Source organism: Homo sapiens, chromosome 3, assembly GCF_000001405.40.
Source record: "Homo sapiens chromosome 3, GRCh38.p14 Primary Assembly".
Lineage (NCBI taxonomy): Eukaryota > Metazoa > Chordata > Mammalia > Primates > Hominidae > Homo > Homo sapiens.
Window position 1 is genome coordinate 2,822,378 of NC_000003.12, and position 26,989 is coordinate 2,849,366.

The 26,989-nt window shown below is 39.3% G+C and overlaps 1 protein-coding gene and 1 long non-coding RNA gene across 38 annotated transcripts in view; one reads left to right on the top strand and one right to left on the bottom strand.

Moving 5' to 3' along the window:
• The window catches only part of CNTN4 (contactin 4), a 959,094-nt gene that overhangs the window by 723,512 nt on the left and 208,593 nt on the right, over positions 1-26,989 (top strand). The gene's annotated exons all lie outside the window — the stretch shown is intronic.
• LOC105376926 (uncharacterized) overlaps positions 1-26,989 on the bottom strand; it is a 38,900-nt gene that overhangs the window by 9,444 nt on the left and 2,467 nt on the right. The window contains exon 2 of the long non-coding RNA XR_001740398.2: positions 13,452-13,495. This is a non-coding gene — a long non-coding RNA (uncharacterized LOC105376926). The remainder of the gene's footprint in view (positions 1-13,451; positions 13,496-26,989) is intronic.

The window sequence follows — 26,989 nt, forward strand, 5'->3', positions numbered from 1 at the left end:
ATAATTATAACTCGATAAGGGCTAAACATCTTGTTTATCAAGTGTGTTTGCATTATTGAAGGCCTGTCCTTTATATGAGAAAACCACTTCACTGTGGACATATATTTAGATTCAGGTGAAGTTCACTTAGACTAACACTTCTCTTTTTAATATGGAATCTGATCAAAATAAAAATGGAAGATTTTACTAATTTCTTCTGCAGGCTACCTTCATTGCATTAAGTTTTCATCACATGGCAGCAACCCTAAAAATTAATCTTGTAGGTATATTAAGAAAAACACCACCACTGTCCGATATAATGATCTCTTTAGGAAAGGCAAAACACATGGAGTGATGCTGTGCTGCTACGCAATGAAGTACCTGACTACTTTCCCTTTCCCACAGAGAAATAGATTAAAAATTTCCATAGACATCTACTGAAATGCAGTTGTCTCTGCTGGCAGCAGTCAGCAGCTCTGAAATCCAGTTCCTTGAGCTGTGCTGACATTCCTGACAATCTTGATGGTGAAAGACAAGGAAATAAATATTCTTATTATAAGCTCTATTAGAAATGGCGTGCACATTAACGCTGTGGGCAAAGCAGGCACGGCTAAGAAATTTTTGAGAAAAGAACAAAGAAGATATTCAAGGTTATAAAAGAGCATCTCAGACATCCATCAGTTTTGGACAAGGGAAACAATGATTATCTGATGAAATCCTTCCAATTTCTCAAAAGCCTCCAATGCAACTGAACGGCAGTGATTCTCTCACTGTTTTTCCGGGCTGTGTGTCACCCTAAAGCGAGAAGAATCACTGTGAGCTGCTGGACATACTGAGCATTTTAGACCCAGCATATGGTCTCCTGGTTTCCATTGTAACAGATCATGCAGAGGAAGGGAAATGAGTCAGCCTTTTATTATATCAGTGGGGTACTGAGTAATGGCATGAAATCCATTGTAAGGGATGCTGCATGTCCTATTTCGAAAGCTGTGCGGTGTCAGACCTTCTTAGGGTAGCAGAGAAATGAGCAGCAATTAATCTGTTTTGAAAAGCATTTCAGTCAGCAGGTATTTCCAGCACTCTACCAATCACTATGTGTGGCCTCTTTGTCATCTCTTGGTTTATATGTATGAATTCAGATGTGATGGTTTTGCATAGATTTTTACCATTAAATATAAGAAAACACCAAAAAATAGAAATCACTTTGATGGACTCTGGCTATCCTTGGTGCTCCTTCCTATTAGACACAGAAATTATTGAGGTCCAGAATGTCCACTTTGCTTTCTGCCAACTCCAGGGTCACTGGGCACCAGGAATTCATGACCTTTAACCAAGCTCTCGTTAAATAGGAATAGAACAGAGGAACTTTGAGATTCTTCCTTCCAATATACGAAAATTTCTAGTTTATTCCTCAATAAAATCCTCACAAACTGTTCATCAAGAGAGGTTTTTGTTCATGCCTTCATTTTATGTCACCAAGATGCTTGCGACTCAAAGGGTGGTCCAAGCACCAGCAGCATTGGCCTCACCTGGAAATTTGATAAAAAGGTAAAATCTCAGACCCCACTACAGCCTACTGAATTGGAACTTGCATTTTAATAAGATCTCCGAGTGATCATATGCACTTTGAAGTGTGAGATGCCCTGAGTCATAGCTGTGGTTCCCACGCACACCCCACCTCTGGGCAGTGAGGGTTGACAGCTTGAGAATCTGGAGGGAAAATTGTTAAAACCATAGGTGTCCAACCTGTTCACAAGCATATTCCGATTCCATAAATCTGGGCTAGGGTCCCCAAGGCTGTTAAAAAAAAAAAAAAAACAGGCCAGGCGCGGTGACTCACACCTGTAATCCCAGCACTTTGGGAGGAGGCCGAGGCAGGTGGATCACTTGAGGTCAGGAGTTAGAGATCAGCCTGGCCAACATAGAGAAACCCCGTCTCTGCTAAAAATACAAAAATTAGTCTGCTGGTGTGCGCCTATAATCCCAGCAACTTGGGAGGCTGAGACAGGAGAATTGCTTGAACTCAGGAGGTGGAGGTTGCGGTGAGTGGAGATCGCGCCACTGCACTCCAGCCTGGGCGACAGAGCGAGACTCTGGCTCAAAAAAAACAAAAACAAAAACAAAAACAAAACTGTAGCTGACTCGCTCACTCTGAGGCAGCACCAGATTTAAGGTCCATTCACACGGATCATCTACAGAACTAGCCCAGGTCCAGCCCTGCTGAGATGGAGTGCTTCGATTTCCACATCACTCAAGCCGAAGGGCTGAGCATTCCTTATGTGAAATTTTTATTTAAAATAATTCATCTATTTACTTATTTTTTGAAATGGAGTCTCACTCTGTCAACCAGGCTGGAGTGCAATGGCACAATCTCGGCTCACTGCAACCTCCGCCTCCTGGGTTCAAGCTGATTCTCCCACCTCAGCCTCCCAAGTAGCTGGGATTACAGGAGTGCACCACCACACCTGGCTAATTTTTGTATTTTTAGTAGAGATGAGGTTTCACCATGTTGGCCAGGCTGATCTCAAACTCCCGACCTCAAGTGATCTGCCTACCTTGGCCTCCCAAAGTGCTGGGATTACAGGCGTGAGCCACTGCACTGGCCAATTGAAAATAATTCAAAATAAAATGTAGTTACCTTAGGCTTTAGCTTTGACTTTATATGTTTTTGTTCATAAAGGAAATGAAAAACTAAGAAAAGGGTGGCTTTTCCTAGGTACTCATACTCAGAAGTAGCATTCTGGTCAGGTGCAGTGCCTCTTGCCTATAATTCTAGCATTTTGTGAGGCCAAGGTAGGAGGATCACTTGAGCCCAGGAGTTGGAGATCCACCTGGCAACACAGTGAGGCCGTCTCTAAAAAATAATTTATTTTATTTTATTTTATTTGGGACAGAGTCTCGCTCTGTCGCCCAGGCTAGAGTGCAGTGGCGTGATCTCAGCTCACTGCAACCTCCGCCTCCCAGTTCAAACATTCTCCCACCTCAGCCTACCGAGTATCTGGGACTACAGGCACATGCCACCATGCCCAGCTAATTTTTGTATTTTTAGTAGAGACAGGGTTTTGCCATGTTGACCAGGCTGGTCTCAAACTCCTGACCTCAGGATCCACCCGCTTCAGCCTCCCAAAGTGCTGGGATTACAGGTGTGAGCCATCGCACCCAGCCTAAAAAAATGTTTAAAAATTAGCCAAGTGTGGTGGTGTGTGCCTCTAGTCCCAGCTATTTGAGAGGATGAGGTGGGAGGATTCCTTGAGCCTAGCAGTTCAAGGCTGCAGTGAGCTATGATCACACCACTGCTCTCCAGACTGGGCAACAGAGTGAGATCCTGTCTTAAAAGCAAACAAACAGACAAAACCCAGAAGTAGCATTTTCTATTCAGCCAGCTTTCCTACATTGTTATTGGTGAATGTATGGCTTCCCAGAGTATATTTAAAAAAGAAAACCACCTGATTCTGATTCTGCGATTATTTTCATTATTACGGGTTTTGGAGAAACTAGCTAAAATTTTCATCTTTAGATTTTTCTTTTACACAGAACACATCCCCACTAGAGTTGGATCCTATCCACAGGGCATCAGACCCAGGGACCTTCGAACACGAACATCTGTAGAGTCCTTTATAGTGTTTATAGTGCTTTAATTTATATTATATTATCTTTGAATCCTCACAATAATCCCATAAGAAGTAAGGACATGTGTTTCATAGATAAGGAAATAGAAGCAAAGAGATTATGGAGGGCACACTCTAATCAATGGCAGGAATAAGAGTTACTGTTGCCTAGAATGCGCCCTTTTATTTGTATATAGCAGAAAAACTGGAAACATGTACTGTACTTTCTGTGTCAGTGGTTCTTTGGCGCTCACCCCAGGTCAATTAAATCTGAGTTTCTTGATGGCAGGGGATCCTCTGGCATCATCCAGGTAATTTTAATATGCAGCCAGGGTGGAAAACTTGAGTCCCTGCATTACAAAATCAAGTAGGACTTATCCCAGCAAAACGTCTCTATATGCAAACCTCTCCAGGGTTCCATAAATGTAATTTTACGTGGACATACCCATACAGATTATAACCACAGCCCTTAAAAGAAGCAAGCATGCCTTTCCACAGCATGGTTATTTCAGCTGGACCATGCTGTATTTACTGTAGGACAGAGATAAAAGCGTGAAAGTAGGACATCTGTGTTCTAGTCCTAGCTCTCCCATCAACTTGCTATGTGGTCTTGGGCCAATTATGTAACTTCTCTGAGCCCTATTTCTTCATATGACTTCTGTTTCTGTCTTCCCACACCTACTCAGCTTTCGTTATTAAGATATCACCTTCAGAGTTAGACTCACCCAGTTTCTTACTTAGTCCAAACTATGCTGACAGGTCACTGAGCCAGGACGAATCTTACTGTGCTAAAAGTGAGCAGCCTCTATGCCCAGAATAATCTTCAAGATGTCCACATTCAAGTCAAGTTGCCAACTCTGCCTAACTCCACATTCAATACCTTATTCTCATCTTCTTCCCCAAACTGGTTCCTGGGTTTACCAGTTTTATATAATTTTAGATTTTCAGCTGCCTCCTTAGTCCAGACACTTAGCTTAGCTGTTGTCCTCATTTCTTACCCAAAGGCGCATGAAATCCCATTTTAACCCCACTCTAAACCTCCAACCATAACATGGTATTCTTTGCATTCTAAGTATTGCTTAAGTCTAGGAAGTCTAGTTACTGGGCCCCACGCATCATATCAGACCTCCTTGGCTATTGACATTTGCCTGGCTGGGTCCTAGGTTTGTCAACTGTGCTTTGGACGACTGGTCACTTTCCTCAGGAAGCAGTCCCTGTACTTCCAGCTTACTCCCTCTACTTTCTCTCATTACCTTTTTCAGGCTCCCTCTCCTTACCCATATCTGGGTTCCTAGCATCACTTTCAAGTCCTCAAACACCACTATAATGCCAACCAAATTGAATTCATCTTTGTTCTGTAAACTTTTCAAATCTGTTATGAGGATGAAAAGACATAACAAATGTGGCAGCAATTTGCACAGTTAAAACTTCCAGACACTCCTGATTTTATTAATTAGGCTGGGTTTGATTGTTTTCATTTGCTTAAGCTTGAAGTCAAAGTTAAATCAGAGAATTTCTCATCTTTGGAGATATGTGATTCTTGATTTACATTCATGTAACAACTTTTATGTAGGCAGATACTTTTCGGATATATCTCCCAAGAGATTTATATGGAATTTACATCTATTATTAACATAAATTGGTTATGCTCTGGCATTGTGGCTTTATTAGCCATTCTTCTAACATTTGAAAATTGCTATTAAAGACTTTACAGTTAAGGTAAACTCTACCAATAGTCTTCTCATAAGCCAAACCCTGTGTGATTCTTTATATTTGCATTTTCTATTTAGCGTGTACAGTATGTGCCCGGACTTCATTTCCTTAGAAAAACAAGGCACTAGGTAGACTTAGGCGGATGCAGGACTTTAAAAATACTGCTGAAATAATGCTGAGAATATTTTTAATAGACTGAAGAATGTTGTCTTAAACATATTTTTATATGGCAGCTTAAAAAAAGCAAAATGTGAGATTTTTAAATGGTTACAAAATTAACAATCACTTAATTGTCATAAAAAGCTATAAGAATAGTGCTGTAAGTATTGATCACCTTTTCTGGTCATATTGGGAACATGATTGAAGGTACATATGGGAACAAGGAAGGGCCCAGCATTTCACTTGAGTCATCTCATTCTCTCTCTCTCTCTCTCTCTGTGTGTGTTTGTGTATGTGTGTGTGTGTGCGTGTGTGTATAATGAGAGAAGTGCCCAAATATAATCCTAGTTTTAAAAACACACATAACAAATGATAGCTAATGGTTTTAGGTCCTGAGTCTTTGTTTCTTGGCCACCACTGAGAGAGCTGCATTTTGATACCAATTTCATGTCACCTGAGAAGCGACTTCCCTGAGAGATGCCTTATCACCTGCAAGTAAATTAAAAGCCACAGGTGTCCAGTAGGTTAACACTGACCGTCTTGGAAATCAGTGATTCAGAAAAGGTCCTGTAATAAGGCAAAATGTAGGATCTCGTCATCTGGTCTTGGAACTTACAAAATGATGTTTAAAATGTTGGTTGGGAGTGGCATTGAAATACTGCTACTATGCCATTTTCCAAGAATGTTGAGGTCAGCCAAACTTGGTTTAAACCACCTTTTATAATATAATTTCTATGAAACATGCATTCTGATTTCCATTTCCCAACAGAGGAACTTTATATATTCACTTAAGTAGATATCTATCTCAATTCAGAGGGGAAAGCTTAACATTTAGTTAGTGATAGGTTAATCAACATCATAGACTACTAGATACCTTTTTTAAAAAAATCAGGAATTAAATATTCTTCTGTTTGTTTTTCTTGTGACAGGATCTCACTCTATCACCTAGTCTGGAGTGCAGTGGCACGATCATGGGTCATTGCAGCCTGAAACCGGGCTCAAGCAATCCTCCCACCTCAGCCTCTTGAGTAGCTAGTACTGCAGGCATGAGCCACCACACCAGGCTAATTATTTTATTTTTTGTTAGAGATGGGGTCTTGTTTTGTTACCCAAGTTGGTCTCAAACTCCTGGCCTCAAGCGATCTTCCTACCTCAGCCTCCCAAAGTGCTGGGAGTACAGGCATGAGCCACCGTGCCCATCCAGGAATTAAATATTCTTAAGGCGATCTTGTCTGTTGCCTCTTGACTGTGTTCCTTTGAAAGATATGAACTTGGACTCCTTTATTTGAAATGTAATCAGCCAGTTCCTCCCTTTTTTCTCTTCCCCGTTTGCCAATCAGAGGGGGTTACAGCGCATTAGTTGATTTAATCAGCATAGAATAATGTAAAACAGTTTATAAGGTGATGCCTTTCTGCATTCATTAAGCCTCCTGTTTCACCCATTGAACAGAAAAAGAGAGCCACATTGATCAGGGACTACTTGTGATAAACTATCTGACCCACATGGCCTGGGTGGAGTGTTTCGTGTTTAGGAGGATAGGCCACTGGGAGGGAGTGCTTGCCCTCACTACACCAAAGGCAGGCTCCACTTCTCTCATCCATGAGATCATTTAGCTCAAAGAAAGAATCAGCAAAAGAAGCAAAAGGGAGGAATTGGGGCCTGGCATGTCTACAGGAGTGACTTGCTTCTCCTCTACCAGATATGACAAGAAGAAGTGAGGTGGATATTTCTGATTTCAGTTATCTCTGAAATTGGTGAAGTATATTCTGTGATGCTACTGACATACTTTTTGCCTTTGAATTTTCCTGTCAACTCTTTTTAAAACAACTTGAATGTTTCATGACTATACTTTTGAATGCCTAGATGTCAACAACTATACACTTATGAGTAGAAAAAAATAAGTTGATATAAGTAACGAACGTTTCCTGGTCATAGAAAAATTATAGTCTTTTTATAGCTGAGCTTCCAGTTTCTTAAAGTAACCTTGTAGAGAATTGGTGGTCTGGTTTTTTAAGAAGAGTTCCCTAGGAGTAGTAGCTACATACTTTCTACTTTAATTCTTTTTTTAGTTCTAGTAAGAGAGATGCTTAAGCTGTTTTTACAGCTATAGCAAGTTCCTGGCCATAGCACTTAGAAATAGACTCAGCTACTTAATAAATACCAGTTAATTAAATATCTTATTGTTCAGAAAAAAAATAATAATTTGGCTAAAAAATAGCAGAAATAAATTTCAGGAAATTCTTTTTCTGTCTCCTTTTTTCCTCACTTGCTTTTGTGCAAACGTTTCTATGTGCTTTATTGGGCAGAAACCAAGAACTTAATGATGCCCCTAATTACCCAGCTTCTCTCCTGACAGTTAGTTTGTGTGTACTTTAATGATAGGCACTATGTAACTGTATTTGTGGATACACAGATTTCAATTCAAGTTGAGTACATCTCTATTTTCTTTTTAAACATCCAAAAAAAATTAAAAAGATTATCTCCAGGTTTGATCCTTAGAACTGGAGGCCACTGATGTCAGAGTAAGGGCCAAACACATTAGTACCGAAAGGAAATAATGTTTGGAAAATGAGAATGGATCCATAAGGCTAAATGATCTACAAACTGTGATCATTTGACAAAGCTGGACCACATGCAGAGCTTTTTCTTTTGGAGTTGTCCTGTCCCAGAAAGCAGTGAAGGATGACATTGTGTTAGAACATAGGTTGGGACATGAAGAGTCTGGAGATGTGAAAAACACATTACACATCCAGGAGAGTGCTACCAGGGATGTACTAGCCAGAAGAGAACAAATGATCAACACTGAGCTTTCAACAACATGAATCTGGCTGAGCGTTTCATAAATAATCCAGTGGACATTCACTACAGGATAGACGGGCACCATTCTTGTTTTAATGCCTGCTGGAAATATACCCTGTGAATCTCATTTTTTCAGCTGAAAAAGGAATGAGTGGTGCTTTGGCTACATTTTTAGCAATGAATAGGTATTCTCTCAGGTCAGTGCATTAAGCAGGATGTTACATGGAATTAAGCAGGATAATGATGCAGTACATAGAATAAGGAAATGCTGACTGAGTCCTGGAAATTTGGAAATAGACTCTGGTTAGGAGCTCAGAAATCGAAGGCTCAGAAATGGATATTTACCACTCTCAGGGATTTTGAACCTAGGAGTCTTAGGCACAAATAAGAAGTTGTTAATTTTTCTGATATATTTTTTAACATGTTCAGTTTGGTTTTCAGACATTAGGAACAAAATAACTGGAAAAAGCCAAATTGAAGACCAGAGAAAACTATACATTTAGGCAAGTGAAGTTCAGTTTCACACACAAAGGAATAAATCATGGCATTTTGTATGAGGGTAGGATTAAAGCTTTTGATTCTATGTAATATCAAAATACTGATTTAAGAGGAAGTGATTTACTGGAGTATCTGTATATTAATCAATGACAAACAATATGGATAAAAAACTTTTCAAATCAATCAAACTGATTGCAGTTCTCCATATCCACTAATGATTTTGACATTTGCAGATATATAGAATAAATACAAAGTTCCAAATGAAGCATAATAGTTTTACAGAGAGACCAACTCTGTCTGCATTATGAACTCAAAGAAATGTTTAATGTTTAATTCAGAGACTGAGAGAATGTTCGTGATATCTGAAGTAGGTGGTGCTGCTAACAAAACAATGGGCAGCCACTTTGTACCGAGCCAAGAGAGCTCTTCCCATCTCCAGCCGAAACACACCCTCTTTTTCTCCCATCATCTGGTGCAGGTTAACACATTATCACAATCTTCACTGTCACAATTAACCCCTGGAAAGGAGTTGTGTCATAAAAACACTCCATAGGACTTCACAAATCCATATGGCAGGCACAGCTGGGAAGACAGTTGCAGTTGATAACGTAGCATTTCAGAAATATCCAAAGAATCTCTACTTTGTGAAGTAGTGTGGAATTTACACATCCTCTCATTCCCTCAAATCAGCACATACACTAGGGAACACCTGGGAAATGCCAAGATGCTTCAGTTTTAGGTGTTTGAAGCCCAGTTCTTATCATTTCACGCAAACCAGAGTATGCTTTTTGAAAAGATGAAAGGACTTTTAAAAACAAAAGGTGGCTGATTTAAGGATTATGTTTCTTCCTTCTCCACTTACTGCAAACTGAGGTAGCTATGACAGCTCTCTAACATTAGTACCCAAATATGAGAAAGACATTCATGTACCTTCTTCTCTTGCTACCCTGAGAATTTGTTCACTGTCTCTGCAAGCCAGCACTCCTTCTAAATGTACAACTCCAGTTTACTTCAATGGACACAGTTGTGATGAATGAAATTTATGATTGGATTCTAATGGATTATGTAAATTAGGATTTCAAGGTTAAAGGAATAGATTTCTTTTAAAAAGTAAAAATAGGAGATTTTGGCAGAACCTTTCAGATACCAGGCCTTGTCATAGACAGGGCAGATATAGGAGTGGGCCAAAACAAAATGTTTTCTCCTGCCATGTAGCCTACAGGTCTGCTAGGGAGGAGCGGGGTAATGAAATCATCATACTGAGATGTGTGCTCTTGGTTGTGAGGTGGGGGTGAGGGAAAGGAAAACAGGGTTCAGTGACCATGTAAAATAGAAGGACATCATGTGGATTGGGGAGTCAGAGAAGGCTTCCTTGAAGAAGTAGTTCTGTGGCTTAGATCTGAAGGACAAGAGAGTAGAAGGAAAGGAGGAGTATTATAGACAGAACAGCTGTATGTAAGTCTGGAGTGGAGAGGTTGTCAAAAGAAGCCAACATGGCACATGAGTATGGACATGGGGAAGGGTGTTTCAGTTTACTGTGAAAGTGGTGACTGAAGCAATAGAAAGCTCCATTTTTGTTCCTCAAAATCTTATGAAATCAATGATAGCCAGACACCAGTAAGTTGGAAACAGAAAATGTTATCAAATTGCCTCAAATTTAAGTTTTAAAAATTGAGATTCTGGGAGCCCCGTGCAGTCAATTTATAGAAATGGTGGGATGCACCCATTCTTAGCTGGTGAAACCAAGGCTGGGATAGAATTACAACCGATGTGTTAAAGTCATAGAGTTAAATAAAAAATAAAATATCTACACTATGTAAATGAATAATAAAATAAGAAATCTACACTATCATGATGACTTGAGAAAATACTTAGTGATAAAAAAAAATTACTTGGTGATCGAGAAGGAGGGGAAATGTCAGACATTGCCTAAGGATGCAAAGCAAAACAAAATAGAATGAAAATGCTTTGGAAGGAACGCCTTAAGAAAATATAAGAAAATGAATGGATGCATCTCCACTGTGCTTTTGGTCAAGTACAAGAAAACATGGATTCTATGAAACAAAGATGCCAATGTTAAAAGAGAGTTGCCGCCAATGCAGATTGAGGTTTGAAGGGAGCTGGCAATGATGAGAAATGGAAATATTAAAATCTGCAATGCAGACTCAGTAAAAAGCCAAATAAACATTGTAGCAAATTGAATTAGTGATAAGCATGGCTAACTAGGTAAGTTTTTATAAAGAACATAAAATGAAAGTATAATAATCAGAAAGCTTCATAAATATAAAAATTAGGTAGTAAAGTTCCAACCCATATGTAATCAATGTAATTGGTAAAGACAGGTCATCAGTGTGTATGTATTGTTTTATTGTTTAATATCATCACATACTTACCATTCCATGTGAGTTCATCATCCTTTTAATAGTAAAAACATATTGTACTTTCTCATGTTTGAGCGGAAGAAAAAAAATTATGGTATTTTTTATTTTAATAATTAAAGAAGAAAGGATGTTTACTGGGAGCTGCCACAAAAACACTTGGTGTTTTATACATGGTGTTACACACAGTTCCAGAGATATATTCAAAGGATTTGGAAAATTTTTAAAAAATAATTCCAATGACATAACTTTACTTGGGTTCAGCATATGACCTGTACTCCTAGTAGCTCATATATTCTGTTATGTTTGTGTATGACACATAAATTTGTTAAATATAAACAACTGGGCTGGGCGAGGTGGCTCACACCTATAATCCCAACACTTGGGGAGGCCAAGGCAGGCGGATCACTTGAGGTCAGGAAATCGAGACCATCCTGGCTAACACGGTGAAACCCCGTCTTACTAAAAAGAAAAATACAAAAATTTAGCTGGGCATGGTGGCGGGCACCTGTAGTCCCAGCTACTCGGGAGGCTGAGGCAGGAGAATCACTTGATCACGGGAGGCAGAGGTTGCAGTAAGCCGAGATCGCCACTGCTCTCCAGCCTGGGCAACAGAGCAAGACTTCGTCTCAAAAAAAGATAAATAAAAAATAATAATTAAAAACATATCACAATTTTTGTTAAAAAAATAAAGAAAGCATAGATGTAAGAAATAAAAATGGGATATGTACCATCTAAGTTGCTAGAGACAATAAAATCAAAGAAGTTGTGGCCAGGCATAGTGGCTCACGCCTGTAATCCCAGCACTTTGGGAGGCCGAGGTGGGCAGATCACTTGAGGTCAGGAGTTTCAGACCAGCCTGGCCAACATGGTGAAACCCCATCTCTACTAAAGATTTAAAAAGTTAGCTGGGCGTGGTGGTGCATGTTTGTAATCCCAGCTACTTGGGAGGCTTGAGGCAGGAGAATTGCTTGAACCCAGCAGGCGAAGTTTGCAGTGAGCCAAGATCATGCCACTGTACTCCAGCCTGGGCAACACTGCGAGACTCCATCTCAAAAAACAAACAAACTACAGCAACAACAAAGAAGCTGTAATCTATTTAACCAGAGACTCAAAATAAAGATGAGCAAAAAAGCATACATGAAGTATAGAAATATGACAGATATGAGTGTGTGTAGCTTATGAAATATAAAGAAATGCAACTTATTTTAAATATAAGAGCCTCAGATTGAGTTAAAAATATGATCTAAACAAAATGCAATGATACAAAATACCTAGACTACCAACAAAACAGATTTTAAAAAGAAAAATAAATGAGGGCAGAATTATTAGTTTTAGACCAAGCATTATTCAAATACAAAAGCATTAAATTAGATAAAGGCAACCTTTTTTTTTTTTTTTTTTTTTTTTGAGACTGAGTCTCTCTCTGTCGCCCAGGCTGGAGTGCAGTGGGGCGATCTCGGCTCACTGCCAGCTCCGCCTCCCGGGTTCACACCATTCTCCTGCTTCAGCCTTCCCAGTAGCTGGGACTACAGGCGCCCGCCACCACGCCCGGCTCATTTTTTTGTATTTTTAGTAGAGGCGGGGTTTCACCGTGTTAGCCAGGATGGTCTCGATCTCCTGATCTCGCGATCCGCCCGCCTCAGCCTCCCAAAGTGCTGGGATTACAGGCATGAGCCACCTCGCCCGGCAGATAAAGGCAATTTTTATTATTAAAATACACAAACCACAATGAAGACATTCCATTTACATTATTTTAAACACCATGAAACATAGAGTCATAGTATATAAAGCTAAAAGTTTGGGAATACAAGGAGAAATTACTAATGCATATTTGTTACTTAACTTGATAGGTCAAGTCAATAAAAATAAGCATATAAAGAATTTGAATAATGTAATAATGATTGGCCTTTCTTAATGTAAACATACATACTTATGTATTTTCTCTTTAAGCACTTCCATAAATCCTATTTCAATTGTTTACATGTTCAGCCAAAAAAAATTTAAACAAAATTGAAATTATATAGGCCAGGCCTTATTTTCCGCCATAATGCAATTAAATAAGAAATTAGTTATAGGTCAATTTTATACAACACCACAAATTTTTTAAAAACCGTCCCATGCAAATTTCAAATCACATTTCTGATACCTACTGGGTCAAAGAAAAGATAAAACCCATATTAATATATTTTTCAAAAGTGAAAAAAATGAGAACAAACATATCTACACTTGTACAATTTATGAAAAGTATACCCTGAAACAAATTAATAACCTTAAATTTGTTGTATAAGGAATCCTGGAAATCAAAATCAGTACCTTAAGTATTCACCTCATGCAATTCAAAGGAACATAGCACAAACCTAGGGGAAATGGAAAGAAAGAAGATAAAACTCAAAATTAGTGAATTAGAAAACAGTATATAGAGAGACATCCAAGAGGAGCTTTGAGATATGAGATATTCTCTCCAAATCTAATCAAGAACAAACTAGAGAAATACAAATAGGCAAAATGATAAGTTAAAAAGAGCATATAATTTTCTATAAAATATTTAAAATCATTTAAAAAACTACAGACAACTCTATGATCATTTAAACATCCGGATGAAATGAATTATCTATTAAGAATATATAAATAACAAAATTGAACCAAGAAAATGTAGAAGATATGAACATACCAATTATTATGGAAGGAATTGAAAGTTGTCAAGATTTACTCTCTCCAAGTTCTCTGGTCTATACATTTTATAAAGAAAATATTTTAAAGTTTTAATGTAATTCTCTTGCCAAATAATTTGTGGCACAGCAAAGACAAGATGAAAAGCTACCAGTTTATTTTATGGAATGAGAATAATCCTGGCACTAGAACTTGACAAAGACAGCAAAAAGGGAATGCCTCTCTCTTATTTATGAATGTTGGTAACGCTTACATAGTGGGTAATACATGTAGGCACTATTTTAAAAGTTTTACATATATTAACTCATTTAACCCTTACAAAAACCTGATTTAGGTGTTATGTATTCCCATTTTATGGATGAGAAAAATACCTGAGACATTAAGTAAATATGGCATTACTCAACAATTCATGAAAAAACACTTTAGGACATGTATATAAAATGAGATAGAAGTTTTAAAAGTACAGGTAACTCAAAATAAGCCAAAATAAGTATTTGCTCAAAATATACCATATTACAGATTAAAAATACAAAAACAAAATTAAAAAATAAAAACATAATGAAGAGTAAAAAGATACTTCTGGGGTGGGGGGCTGGGGGAGGGATAGCATTAGGAGAAATACGTAATGTAGATGATGGGTTGATGGGTGCAGCAAACCATCATGGCACATATATATCTATGTAACAAACCTGCATGTTCTGCACATGTATCTCAAAACTTAAAGTATAATAATAAAAAAGATACTTCTATAATCTGCTTAATGACAGCCAATATTATATTTAACAGAGGACGTAAAGACAAACAAGAATGAAACAAGGTTTATAATTATTGGGTGATGATACATGAAGGTTCATTATACCATGATTTCTACTTTTGTTATTTGTAATATGTTAGAAAATATATGTAACAAAAATGTTAAAAGAATGGTTTCTATGGTTGAATTTAGTGATTTCTAAGGTGGCTTCCAGCTCAGCTCTTACATGGTTCTCTGTTGTTAATTACCTCTTTTTCCAAAAAAAGCATTTTTTGTACTAGCCTTTCGGGGAGGAAGATGTTTGCATTATGTGGAGGAGTTTCCACCATACATGGACACATTGGTCTCCTGCAAACCACGTAGTTCTTTTATTGCTTCTTTTTTCATTTGAAAATCATTCCAGATACTGAAGTTAAAATAGCTGTCCTTGCTTTCCTGCCTGGAGAGATGGGTATCACTAAAAATGCCTGGATTGGCAGTAATCCGCTTTGCTCCTGCCTGGAGCTGTTCTGAATCTCCAGTGGCAGGCCCTCACGGTGTTACTGGGGCAAGTGTGCAGTGACGTGCATTTCATCTGCACACAGCAACGGTCAGACTACTTGGCTTTCTGCAGGGAATGAAAAAATACACATATAACCACCCCCGTTCCCAAATGGCACTGTAGCCTAGTTAAGAAAATTGCTTGAGGGGGAGTGCATTATGCTAAGAGGGCTAGTTCATTTTCAGGTTACAAAACTTTAAATTCAAGTTGACACAGCTTCTATTTTCATTTCCATACTTATCTCAACTGGGGAAATGTGGTGTTTGTCACTAAAAACCAGCCAGTAAAATGTAGAGGGAAGATGGAGAGTCAGTGGTCCGCAGCCTGCAAGTGGCTGTGATCTGAAATATGTCATGCTTTAGTTGGTAGCAGATACCATACCAAATTTGCTTCCCACTGGTAGACTTTCTCCTTTTATTTTCAACAAAGTCCCATGTACCCAGCAGCAATCTTTAACAGCAAAAATGCAATTAATATAAGTCATCTCATCATGTACTAGCATTCCAGATAGCTCATAAACAATTAAGAATCGAGTCTGAATTAAATGCAGAGGTTCAGGGCTAAGTGTGTTACAGGAAGACAGAGAATGCTGTTCTGTCAGTTTTGTGACCATGAGCAGTTTCATTCAAGAAACCACATGGAAGGTGTTCCACTGTTAAGTACCACATGTGACCTCTCTGGTTTGAATATCTAAGTAGATCCATAAAGCTTAAAGTACATAAGCTTTCGTGCGGCTATACTGAAATGTAAAGAATGCGAATGAAGGCACCCATTAAAAGATAAAACTGGGTAAGACTAAAATTAATCCTCCATAATCCTAGCTTTAGAAACTCTCATCTTTACTGTATACAGGTATCTTTAATGTGAGTTATTGAGTAAGTCCAAGGGCTCTTCTGGTCACCCTTTCACATATAGTCTACCACATTCCTATTCCAATAGAAGCTGGGAAGCATTCCAGGATAAATTAATTGTAGAATCAATTTGCTTTTATAGAGCATGGATGAGAGAAATATTGAAGTTTTAAGAGTTTCTGTTGCCAGACTTATAGAATATATTTGCCATTCAGACCCTATGGTTTGTAAAAAAAAAAAAAAAAAAAAAATTAAGCATTTTGGGTGTTGACCCTGGGTTGTGTAATTTATGCATGGCTCTGGTAAGCTGTTACCTCTTAATCACCCAGGAGCCCCAGCTCTTGAAGCAGACTAATGATTCCCTGCTGACTATCTGCTCTGCTTGCAGTTCTGCCTTCAACACATCTGTCAGCACCACTTCCCAAGGGGACTGTATGAAAGTTGCAAAGTCTGACATCCGTACATTAACTACTCTATGACTTTCTCCATTAATAATGGACTGTCCCGCCGTAAGCTGTGAGTTTCCTCCCCAACACCGACCGCTTTTGCTTTTATGTGCCACTAGGCCTGTCATCAGAGAGACAGCCAGAGAAAAGACATCTGGCATCTGTAACTCATAGGGGGTTCATGAAAACTAAAGCAGGTAGATTATTATCTCAAATGAAGTTCCTGGAAATACTGAATGATGAATGTCGTACTAATGGCCTCCTTCCTCTAGCTTGGTGACAGCCTGTAACCAGTTACAAAAAAAAATCTTGACATACACCTTCAATTTTTATTTAAGAGATATAGTCCTAATTGTTATGTCAAAACCTTGGAAATAGAGGCCAATTATTTTGAAAACGTTATTTTTTCCAAATCTACAAAGGAATTGCCATATGATATAATAGCTAAAGGTGTTTTCAAGATCCATTTTCCAATTAATTGCTTTAAAAAAGAATTCTCTGAAGTAAATCACAAGTGCCTTTAAGATTCTGGCTGGATTGTTTGTTAATATACCTTAGATGCAGATAAAAAGCGGGGGCAGGAAAGAGAAAATTGGAAGCCCACTGGGTCAGAATGGCAAGTTTTTTGCTTTTACCAAAAAAAAAAAAAGACAGTGGGAATCACAACAGAAAGAGGTCGGATGCTGTTGGTGATTTTTGTACCTCTGAAGCTTCTAAATATAGAGGGGTTTATTGCTTCTCTTGATAGGTTCCTTGTCAAGTTACTGTAGAAATAACTTACTTACCCCACCTGGAATTTAGAACAGGGCTTTTAAATTTTCAAGGACTGCACTGCAGTTGAATTGAAGTGAACCAGATGTAAGATAATAGGGGTTGGGAAGACCCTGAGGAAGTAAAGAGTACACATCTCATCAATAAGGGGCAGGGCATTGTTGGTTACAGTGCACCCAAGGGAGTGCTCTTAGGGTCAACTAGACAATCAAACTGACTTGATTTCCATGGGTTACACTTGACATCTCATTCACTTACAGACCGAGCACAGTGTATGCCCGCAGAGCAGTACTAGGCCTTGGTCTTCAATGGGAATCCCTGGAACAGTCCGAATAGCAATCTAGGGACTTTTTTAAAATTTTTTTTCTCTATTCCCAAGTGTTATTTCAAGAGCAAAGAAGTTAAACTTGTGTAGCTAAGTGTAGAGTCTCCTGATTTAGAAGGTCTATGTCTTAAATAGGAGCCAAGATCTCTGGTGACGTTCCTATAGGCACAGCTTCCAAAATCCCCAGGTCAAGCCTCCTCATTATGAGTCACCACACTCAGGGAAGCCCAACCCAATAACTTCTCAACAGATGTGTTCATTTGCAGTCCTTCCAGCCAGATTCAGCTTACCAATCCGGGGTCATTCTTATAACAACATAGCCTGCTTATGTGGCTGACATTTCACCTTACCAGGTTTCCAGGGTAACAAAGCCAGAAAGTTAACCCAAGATAAAGTTCTCCATAGAGAGAGAGAATTTTAACCCGTTACCCACTGTTGTCATATGGGAGTATAAACTCAGATCTTTTCTTTTCCTTTGTTCCTGCTTGCCCTTCTCCTCCTCTTTCTCCTCCTCCTCCACCTTCTTCCTTCTTTTAGAAAAGCTGGGGCCGGCGCGGTGGCTCACGCCTGTCATCCCAGCACTTTGGGAGGCCGAGGCGGGCGGATCACGAGGTCAGGAGATCGAGACCATCCTGGCTAACACGGTGAAACCCCGTCTCTACTAAAAATACAAAAATTAGCCGGGCGCGGTGATGGGCGCCTGTAGTCCCAGCTACTCGGGAGGCTGAGGCGGGAGAATGGCGGGAACCCGGGAGGCGGAGCTTGCAGTGAGCCAAGATCACACCACTGCACTCCAGCCTGGGCGACAGAGCGACACTCCGTCTCCAAAAAATAAAAAATAAAAATAAAAAAATAAAAGCTGGACGACTAGATTTTTAAAAAATGTTTAGTCTCCCAATTTTTAAGCGAGACTACTGGAGTAAGAATACTGGACCAGAGAACAGAAGACCTGGGTTCTATTAATAGTAGTCTAGCAATTTGCTGTGTGACCTCCCTGTGTTAAGTGAAAGGCTTGCATAAGGTCACCTGAAAAGCTATTTCTGTGATACTGTTAATCTTTTCTAATTGCTAAAGAGGTGATGCTTCCTGTTTCTCTGCTCATTGCCAGGGTACTTGTTTCTCTTCCATCAGCTTTTCTCCTTCTCTATTCTGCATTATCATATGAAATCAAAGAGTGAGGAAAAAAGTCAAGGATCTTCAAAATCATACATGACTGATACCAATCTCATCATTGGACTAGATTTCTCAGTGAAGATAATCTGAGGGTTAATGCTAACTCTCATAGAATTTAAGTCAAAATATCTGTCTTTGTTTGCATTGCCCAAAGAAGTTGGATCAAAAGAGTTACAGCTGGGTGGATTTTAACTTTTAACCCAGTTTTTCAGATGTGTTAATATATAGTGCAAAGTTTCCAATGTAGTTAGAGTTACTACAACCCTAACTGAAATTGCCTCATACTGTGACATTATTATATCCTACAATCACTCATATATCTTTATTTTTCCAACTCTACCATCACAACTGAGAAAAGGTAATGTGGTACATTTACAAATAAAAGAGGATTAGGATTATTTTCATTTTAATATTCCCACTATAATTATCTACAGATTTATGAAGACCGAGTCAAGGGTTCCATTTGTAGCCATCAATAAAGAGATTAATTTATTATTCCCAATCGGGCTCCAACCCTCAAACTATATTTGGCCATTGGCTTCGGGATTTGGTTATTTCCTCAACCCTTTGTGAAGAAATCTTTTAATTTTTTGTGGGTCAGAGGCTCTTTGTTATATGGTAGAAGTATAGTCCGTAAGGAATAGAAAGGACGAGGTTGAAAGTAGCTGTGCCTTGAAGTTATTAAAAATATGTTTCACTCATGATAACATGATCATTTTCAGGAATTTTATTCTTCCTCCCTTGACCACAAATATTAAACGTTTCACCAGGGAAATGGCTGGTAAGAGATTTAGTCCTAGGAGTAGGATCTAATCTTTTATATCACAGTAAGAAGCTGATCAAAGGTGTTGAAAGCTGACTGTTAAAGGATTAATTAGGTCACATTGAAATATATGATTTTAAAACAGATTGAAACCAGAAATAAATAAATAAATGAAGCTAGCTGCCCCCATTTTTTTCAAGAACATGTTATTGAAGAGAAAATATTGAGCCTTCATCACCATTTAAAATATTCTTAATGAGCATTGTTGAAGCCATTTTAAGGAGTGTGTTCTTCAACATAAGGGCAACGGAAAGCCATGAGCTCTTCTTCTAGGAATTGAGCTTATATATCACTCTTTCTTTAAAGAGTGCAGGTAATGGGTTGCAGCAGAACAGGGCTGTGTGAAGAGAACCTTGAAACAGATGCTGCAATAATCCAAGTAAGAGATATTGGTGTCTTTATCTTGGGCAGTAGCTGTGGTGGTGGATTCTTTGTGTTTCCCACTCAACCCAAACACAAAATCTTCCAGGGCTCCAATCTAAGATCAACCCCATCCTCTTGGTCACTGGATTGCATTCCCTCTCACCCACTCAAGAACTTCACTCTAGCTATCGTTTTACTCCTCTCTCCTGCATTAGATACATTTTCTTTCCCTGCTACATCACTCCTACCTGCATCGGAACAATGTGGCAACATCTCCTGCTTTAAACTAGTAAGAAACTCCCACTGCTCAATTTCTATGCTCCTCTTACGGCAAAACTGCACCAAAGAGTCATCTCTACATCTTCTCTTTCACGGACTCTTACCCTCAGTCCATTGGGACTTTTCCCCAGAATTGCACAAAAGTAGCTCTCTTCAGTGATGTCCACAATACTAAAGCTGATGATAAATTCTTAGTTCTCACAGTATTTGACCTATCAGCAGCATTCAATACAGCTGCTCTCTCTAAACTTCTCAAATACTTGCTTCTTGTGGCTTTTGGGCTATAACTCTCTTGGTACCCCCTTTAAATCCCTGGATTTCCATTTTCTTTTTTTTTCCATTTTTTTCTTTTCTGGCTTCTCATTTCCCTGTCATCTACTCATATTCTTAAAGTAAAGTATAAGTGTCCTCAGGCTCAAGACCCAGGCCTTTATCTCTCTGTATACTTGCTCTCTAGTGATTTCATCCAGTCCAATGGCTTCAAATGCCATCTTTATACTGATATTTTATAAATACCTACTGTCAGCCCCTCTCCCTCCTAAATACTTGACTTACATATCCATTTCCTGCTCATCTTCTCACGTGGTTGTCCAGTAGGCATCTCAAAGGTAATATGACTAAACCTGAGCATTTGATCTTCTTCCTAAATCTTATTCTCCTATAGTTTTCCCAGTCACAGGAAAGGGCACTTCCATTCATCCAGTGGCTCAAGACTGAAATTTGGGTGATAGTCTTTATTTATTTATTTATTTCCATGCCACCATTCAATCTGTTTGCAAATCCTGACCACTGTGCCTTCAAAACATACCCTGTATCAAACCAACTCTCCCTACCTTCAACCATTGCAACCCCAGTCCAAACTCCCATCGTAAGTGGCTTGATCACAAGAGCTTCCTAACTGGTGTCCCTCCTTCTATTCCTGTTTCTCCAGCCTTTTGTTACATAAAAGCCAGGGTGATAGATAGAGTTTGAATTATTTGTCCCTGCCCAAATCTCATGTTTAATTGTAACCCCCCAATGTTGGAGGTGGGGCCTGGTGGGAGGTGATTGGATCATGGGAGTGGATCCTTCACGGCTCAGTGCCGTCCTCACAACAGTGAGTTCTCGTGAAATCTGATTGTTTAAAAGTATGTGGCACCTACCCCCCATCTCTTGCTCCTGCTTTTCACCATGTGAAGTGCCCGCTCCTGCTTCACCTTCCACCTTAGTAAAAGCTTCCTGAGGCCTCCCCAGAAGCGGATACCAGCACTGTGTTTCCTGTACAGTTTGCAGAACCATGAGCCAATTAAGCTAATTTTCTTATAAATTACTCAGTCTCAGGTATTTCTTCATAGCAATACAGGAAAGGCCTAATACAGTGACTCTTTTAAGTGTAAGTCGTTCACATTTCTCCCTGGCCAAAAGCCCTCCAAAGGCTTTACTTCTCACTCAGAAAAAAATCCAAACCTCTCACCTTGGCCAGAAGCCCCCATAAACTGGCCCCTGGCCATCTGTCCGTCATTATGTCCCCACAACCCCCATCCTTCTGTTCCATATACTGTTTCTCAAAGACATGAAACACGTCCCTCCTAGCAATGGGGCCTTTGTGAGTGTTGCTCCCATGCCTTGAATGTGAGTCCCCCAGATACCTCGTGGCTTGCAACCTTCTTTCATTTCAAATCTCTGCTCATTTCCACCCCTTCCCGATATTTTTCAAATAGTACTCACCATCCTTCTCCATCGCTTTCACTGCTTTGTTCTTAATCGCATGTAGTACTGTGTGACATAATACTCCTTTTTGAGAATTATATTTATTGCAGATTTGCAGAATTTCACGGTTGTACTTTAAAGCATTTTATGTTAAGGTCACCATAGATATATTGTGCAGTAGAACTCAGAAGTAGAATGAATATGTAATATAAGTCTCAAGGCTTGCAGTAGGCTGCTTTGGGGTTTGCCTTCTGACCCTTCAGAAGTGTGTGTTCACTCAGCTGTTCCGGTAAGGACGCCTCGATGGAAAAGTTTAAAATGTACTGGTTCATATGGACTGGGCAATTACCCATATTATGTAATTGAGGGACACCTACAGAAACGATCTCTTTCCCCTTATCTATCTGTATTGGTCTGCCATCATACCTGCAAAATTCCACCATTACTCTCTCTTAATGGAATCAACTACAATTAGAAGTCAACCAACAATGCCTGTATAGGAAGCATATGTAGAGACTTTTAGTTAAAATTATATGGTCTAATCAGCAAGAGTCTATTTAAGGGACAATAAAGCAGAATATGGCTTATTTTAAAGCATTATAGAGGCTCTCTCAACCCACCACCCTTTAACTGACTTTCTGGATAAACAGTCTCTTCATTCCTTCCGTAATGCATAATGACTGTTGCCTGTGGCAAGCTGAAGGTTCATGGCTGGTAGGCTACGCTCAGGTGAATTTGGAGCACTCTGTTCCTAGGTGTTGAGTTGGACACTGCCAAGGATGAGTTGTTTTTATTCCCAAACCAGTTTATGCCAGTTTCACTTACAATTATAAACTTTAAATATTATATAAACTAATGAAATAAAAATTCAAAAGGCAAGAGTTGTCATTTCCGCAAAAACTAGGTGCAATCCTTTGGAAAAGACTCAAGAAAAACAAGCCAATAAAAAAATTAAAGGTTCTACGGACAATTATACAAGTTTATTTTTAAATAAAAGACAATTATAATTCATACTCTAGTATAATTCTGTACTCAGATCTTGTCACAACTCTTTTGTAAGGAAACCAAAACTGTAAATGAGAGTTGTCAATGCATGATGAACGTAGCTTATGTGAAAATAACAACCCTAGTCCACTGTCAACTTTAAAAATAAATAAAAGGTAAGAGTTACATTGTTCTTACATGAAAATATTGACAAATAATAAATTTAATTGCCTAAAAATAAATTACTTTATTAGTAAATAAAGATAAGTTATATATAAATATATAAACTATATGTTATGATAAATTTCATAAAATGTTTATGACATACATATGGCATTACTTTATGGTTTCCCACTTCTAGCAACTTTTAAAATTACCAACTAATTCTAGGTCCCAAAAGTGTAGGACAAGCGGGTTTTTCACATGGTTTGAAAACAGTTTTCAAGAGTAGAGATTGCAGTTTCATTACAGACATGTTGAGAACAGCAAAGGAGGTAAAATACTCAGATCAATCCTGGAAGTAAAGTAAAATCAGCATGCCCATTCTACATATGAGGCTAACAGAGAGTCAGTGACGTGGAGTTGAGCTGTTTTCAGAGAACTAAGATTTGCCTTCTTCAAGGTTCATGCTGTTAGCTTTGATGCTACAATACCTTTTCAAACCTCTTCTCCTATACATCTCATTTAGATCTTTCATAACTTGGCTTTTTCAAAATAGATGTCAACTAAAGGCAGCTGAGCTAATCAGGTATTTTAATTAATGGCATCTGAATTATTATGACAGTGTGATCATAGAGATGCCATTTTTGTCTTCAGTAATCAACCCTTCTTCCTTAAGAAGGTGTGGGAGCAGGTCCTTGATTAAATAGATCTGGGAAATGCTGAATATTGGATTCTCCTCTTGGAGATTTTACAATGCTAATAAGATTTGGAGAAATCCTGTAGTAAAGAAATCTGCCCAGCATTTTCAACCCAGTTGATATGATTTGGCTGTATTCCCAGCCAAATCTCATCTTGAATTGTAGTTCCCATAATCCCCACATGTTGTGGGAGAAACCTGGTAGGAGGTAATTAAATCATAGGGGCAGTTACTCTCATGCTGTTCTCATGATAGTGAGTGAATTCTCATGAGATCTGATGGTTTTATAAGGGGCTTTCCCCTTCCTTCGCTTTCATTGTCCTTCCTGCCACCATGTGAAGAAGGACATGTTTACTTCCCCTACCACCATGATTGTAAGTTTCCTGAGGCATCCCCAGCCATGCAGGATGGTGAGTCAATTAAACCTCTTTCCTTTATAAATTACCCAGTCTCAGGTATGTCTTTATTAGCAGCATGAGAAGAGATTAAAACACTGGTTATTTCCCAAACATATTTGTCCACATGATTTTATCATGTATGCCTCTTTATGTTGGACTAAACCAGTATTCAGTGGCACACATTTAAAAATATTGCTATTCTCAAGTAAATTTGGACTCCTCTGTTCATAGCTGTTGAGTTGTACACTGCCAAGAATAACTGATTTTTATTCCCAAACCAGTTTATGCCAGTTTTACTTAGAGATTATTACTAGGGAGGCCGAGGCAGGCCGATCACCTGAGGTTGGGAGTTCGAGACCACCCTGACCAACATGGGGAAACCCCATCTCTACTAAAAATACAAAATTAGCTGGGTGTGGTGGTGCATGCCTATAATCCCAGCTACTCAGGAAGGCTGAGGCAGGAGAATCGCTTGAACTCAAGAGGTGGAGGCTGCAGCCGAGATCGCACCACTGTACTCCAGCCTGGGGAACAAGAGTGAAACTCGGTCTCAAATAAATAAATAAATAAATAAGTATTATATAAATGAATGCCTTTCATATGTCCATTCCTGTTCTTATATATTCTCAGCTTGTTGACCACAGTTCCCTGGGCTGAATTTTGTGAGTGCACCCTTACTTTGTTCAGCTTTTTGTCATTATCAGGAGAGAAAAGGCAAATGTTGCAAAAAAAAAAAAGATAGACTTGGCAGTTTTTTCTAATAGCTAAACTGTGACCTTGGCACCCATCCCCTTAGAGGTCAGTAAGAGGCCCTTGTAATCATCCACAAGCAGAGAGTCAGCTAAAGACTGAGATCACCCCTTGCTCATCAGATCCTGGTTAAGAAGCTCATGAAGAGGAAAAAAAAGTTCAGACTCCTTCCACAAGCTAAATAAGTGCCTCTAGGGTCAGGCATCATCAAAGAGGGTCAACTAATCAATGTTCACCAAGCAATTTGTGATCTGAAGTGTTGCAAGAATGCTAAAATTATATGTATCTTGTCCTTTACAACTGAAGATGGCACATCAGGAGGTGATAGCTCTGTGTTTTGATGCTGGCTGTGACTTTGTGCCAGACCTTAGCCCCGGCCCTGCTGCAGGCACACGTCCTTCTTTACAGGATAACCAGGCAATTTGTGGTTTACTGCCTGCTGTGTGTGTCCTGTGCAAACTCACAGTGTGCTGACACATGACTGCCTAGTAAATATCAGGGGAATATTGAATGCTCGTGCTCAGAGCTTTTATTGGGAAACACTTTCCCTCATCCCACCCTTTGCTCCTCTCCTGAATGTCCACCACCATGCATCAGAACAGATCATTTATAGAGATACTCTTAGGGAATGCCAGTCTGTGCCAGTCTGCCTGTCTTCCCTGCCCACATGCTCTTACCGGGGCCGACTTGACACCCAAAACAACTCAGAGAGTTGAAGTGATTTGCCCAAGACCACACAGCTAACAACTGGCAAATGTGGTATTGTATCTAAAATACTAGCACAGGGTTGGGCACAGTGGCTGACACCTGTAATCCCAACACTTCGGGAGGCTGAGGCAGGAGGACTGCCTGAACCCAGGAGCCTGGTCAACATAGCAAGACCTCGTCTCTACTAAGAATAAAAAAAATATTAGCTGGGCATAGTGGCATACACCTGTAGTCCCCAGCTACTCAGGAGGGTCACTTGAGCCCAGGAATTTGAGGTTTCAATGAGCTATGATCATGCCACTGCAGTCCAGCCTGGGCAACAGAGTGAGACCCTGTCTCAAAAAAAAAATAAAATGTTAGCATAGGCTTTTAAATCATGTGTTTTTCACTTACAGTGAGGCTGAGTAGAAATCTGGGGAAGAATTAAAGCAGAGATTCCAGGGATATGTTAGGGCAGAGCAGGACTCATGGAAGGACAAGGGGGTTGGTTTTGTTTTCAATAGAATTGAGAAGGTAGAGTTTGAAAACACATTTCCAGAAGTCCCCGTGTTGGTTCCCACTGGATGCTTGTTAAGATTATGTAATACTCTTCAGTGCTATGTCTGTTGTTTAAGTGTTCTGTTCATTGGGATTCTTTTGGTTGCAAGTGCCAAAATCCAATTCAAATGAGCTTAAATAAACACGGGAATTTTTTGGCATAAAAGTCCTATTAACTACAACTAGATTTTAGTTCCCAAATGATAGTGTTAGGATCTCTCTATCATCTCTTGAATTTGCTTTTCACAAGCTGCCTCTCACTGCAAGGTAACTCAGCGGGAAGGAGAAAATGCTTCATTTCCAGTAATTTTAGCAAAAGCTTCAAAATTGGCCTTTATATGCTAACTTGAGTCATATGCCCACTCTTAAACCAATTATGGTGAGTGGAGGATATGAGGGTGGTGCTGGATAGAAAATGCTGATTGGGCAGCCAGACGACATAGGTCTATTCCTGGAGCCAGAACGGAGATTAGCCTCACTCGTATAGCATCTACTAAGAGTCGGGGAGAAATGATTCCTGATTTTAAAAAAGATTAGAATGAGGTTACCAAGTCAGGAGAAGCTAGGCACCCAAAACAAATGATGTCTACTTGTCATCTTATTGTAAAGTAGGGTTGCACCCCAGGATCCCATCCCGAAGAGTTATTTCTAGATGTGAGAGGTGTATACCATGTACAACAAGATCCACTGTCCTGGAAACATGAGCAGGATTCAAGAAACTTGATTCTCCTAAAACTGTATCTCTGCTGAATATATCCCACTATGTCCCTAGTGCCAAGAAGAATGCCTGAACCTAATAGGCCCACATGAAGCATTTGTTGAATGAGTAATTTAAAACCAGGCAGAAGGGATACAGAGTTTCAGTTTGGGATTATGAAAAAGTTCTAGACATGAATAATGGTGATAGTTGCACAACATTGGGAATGGATG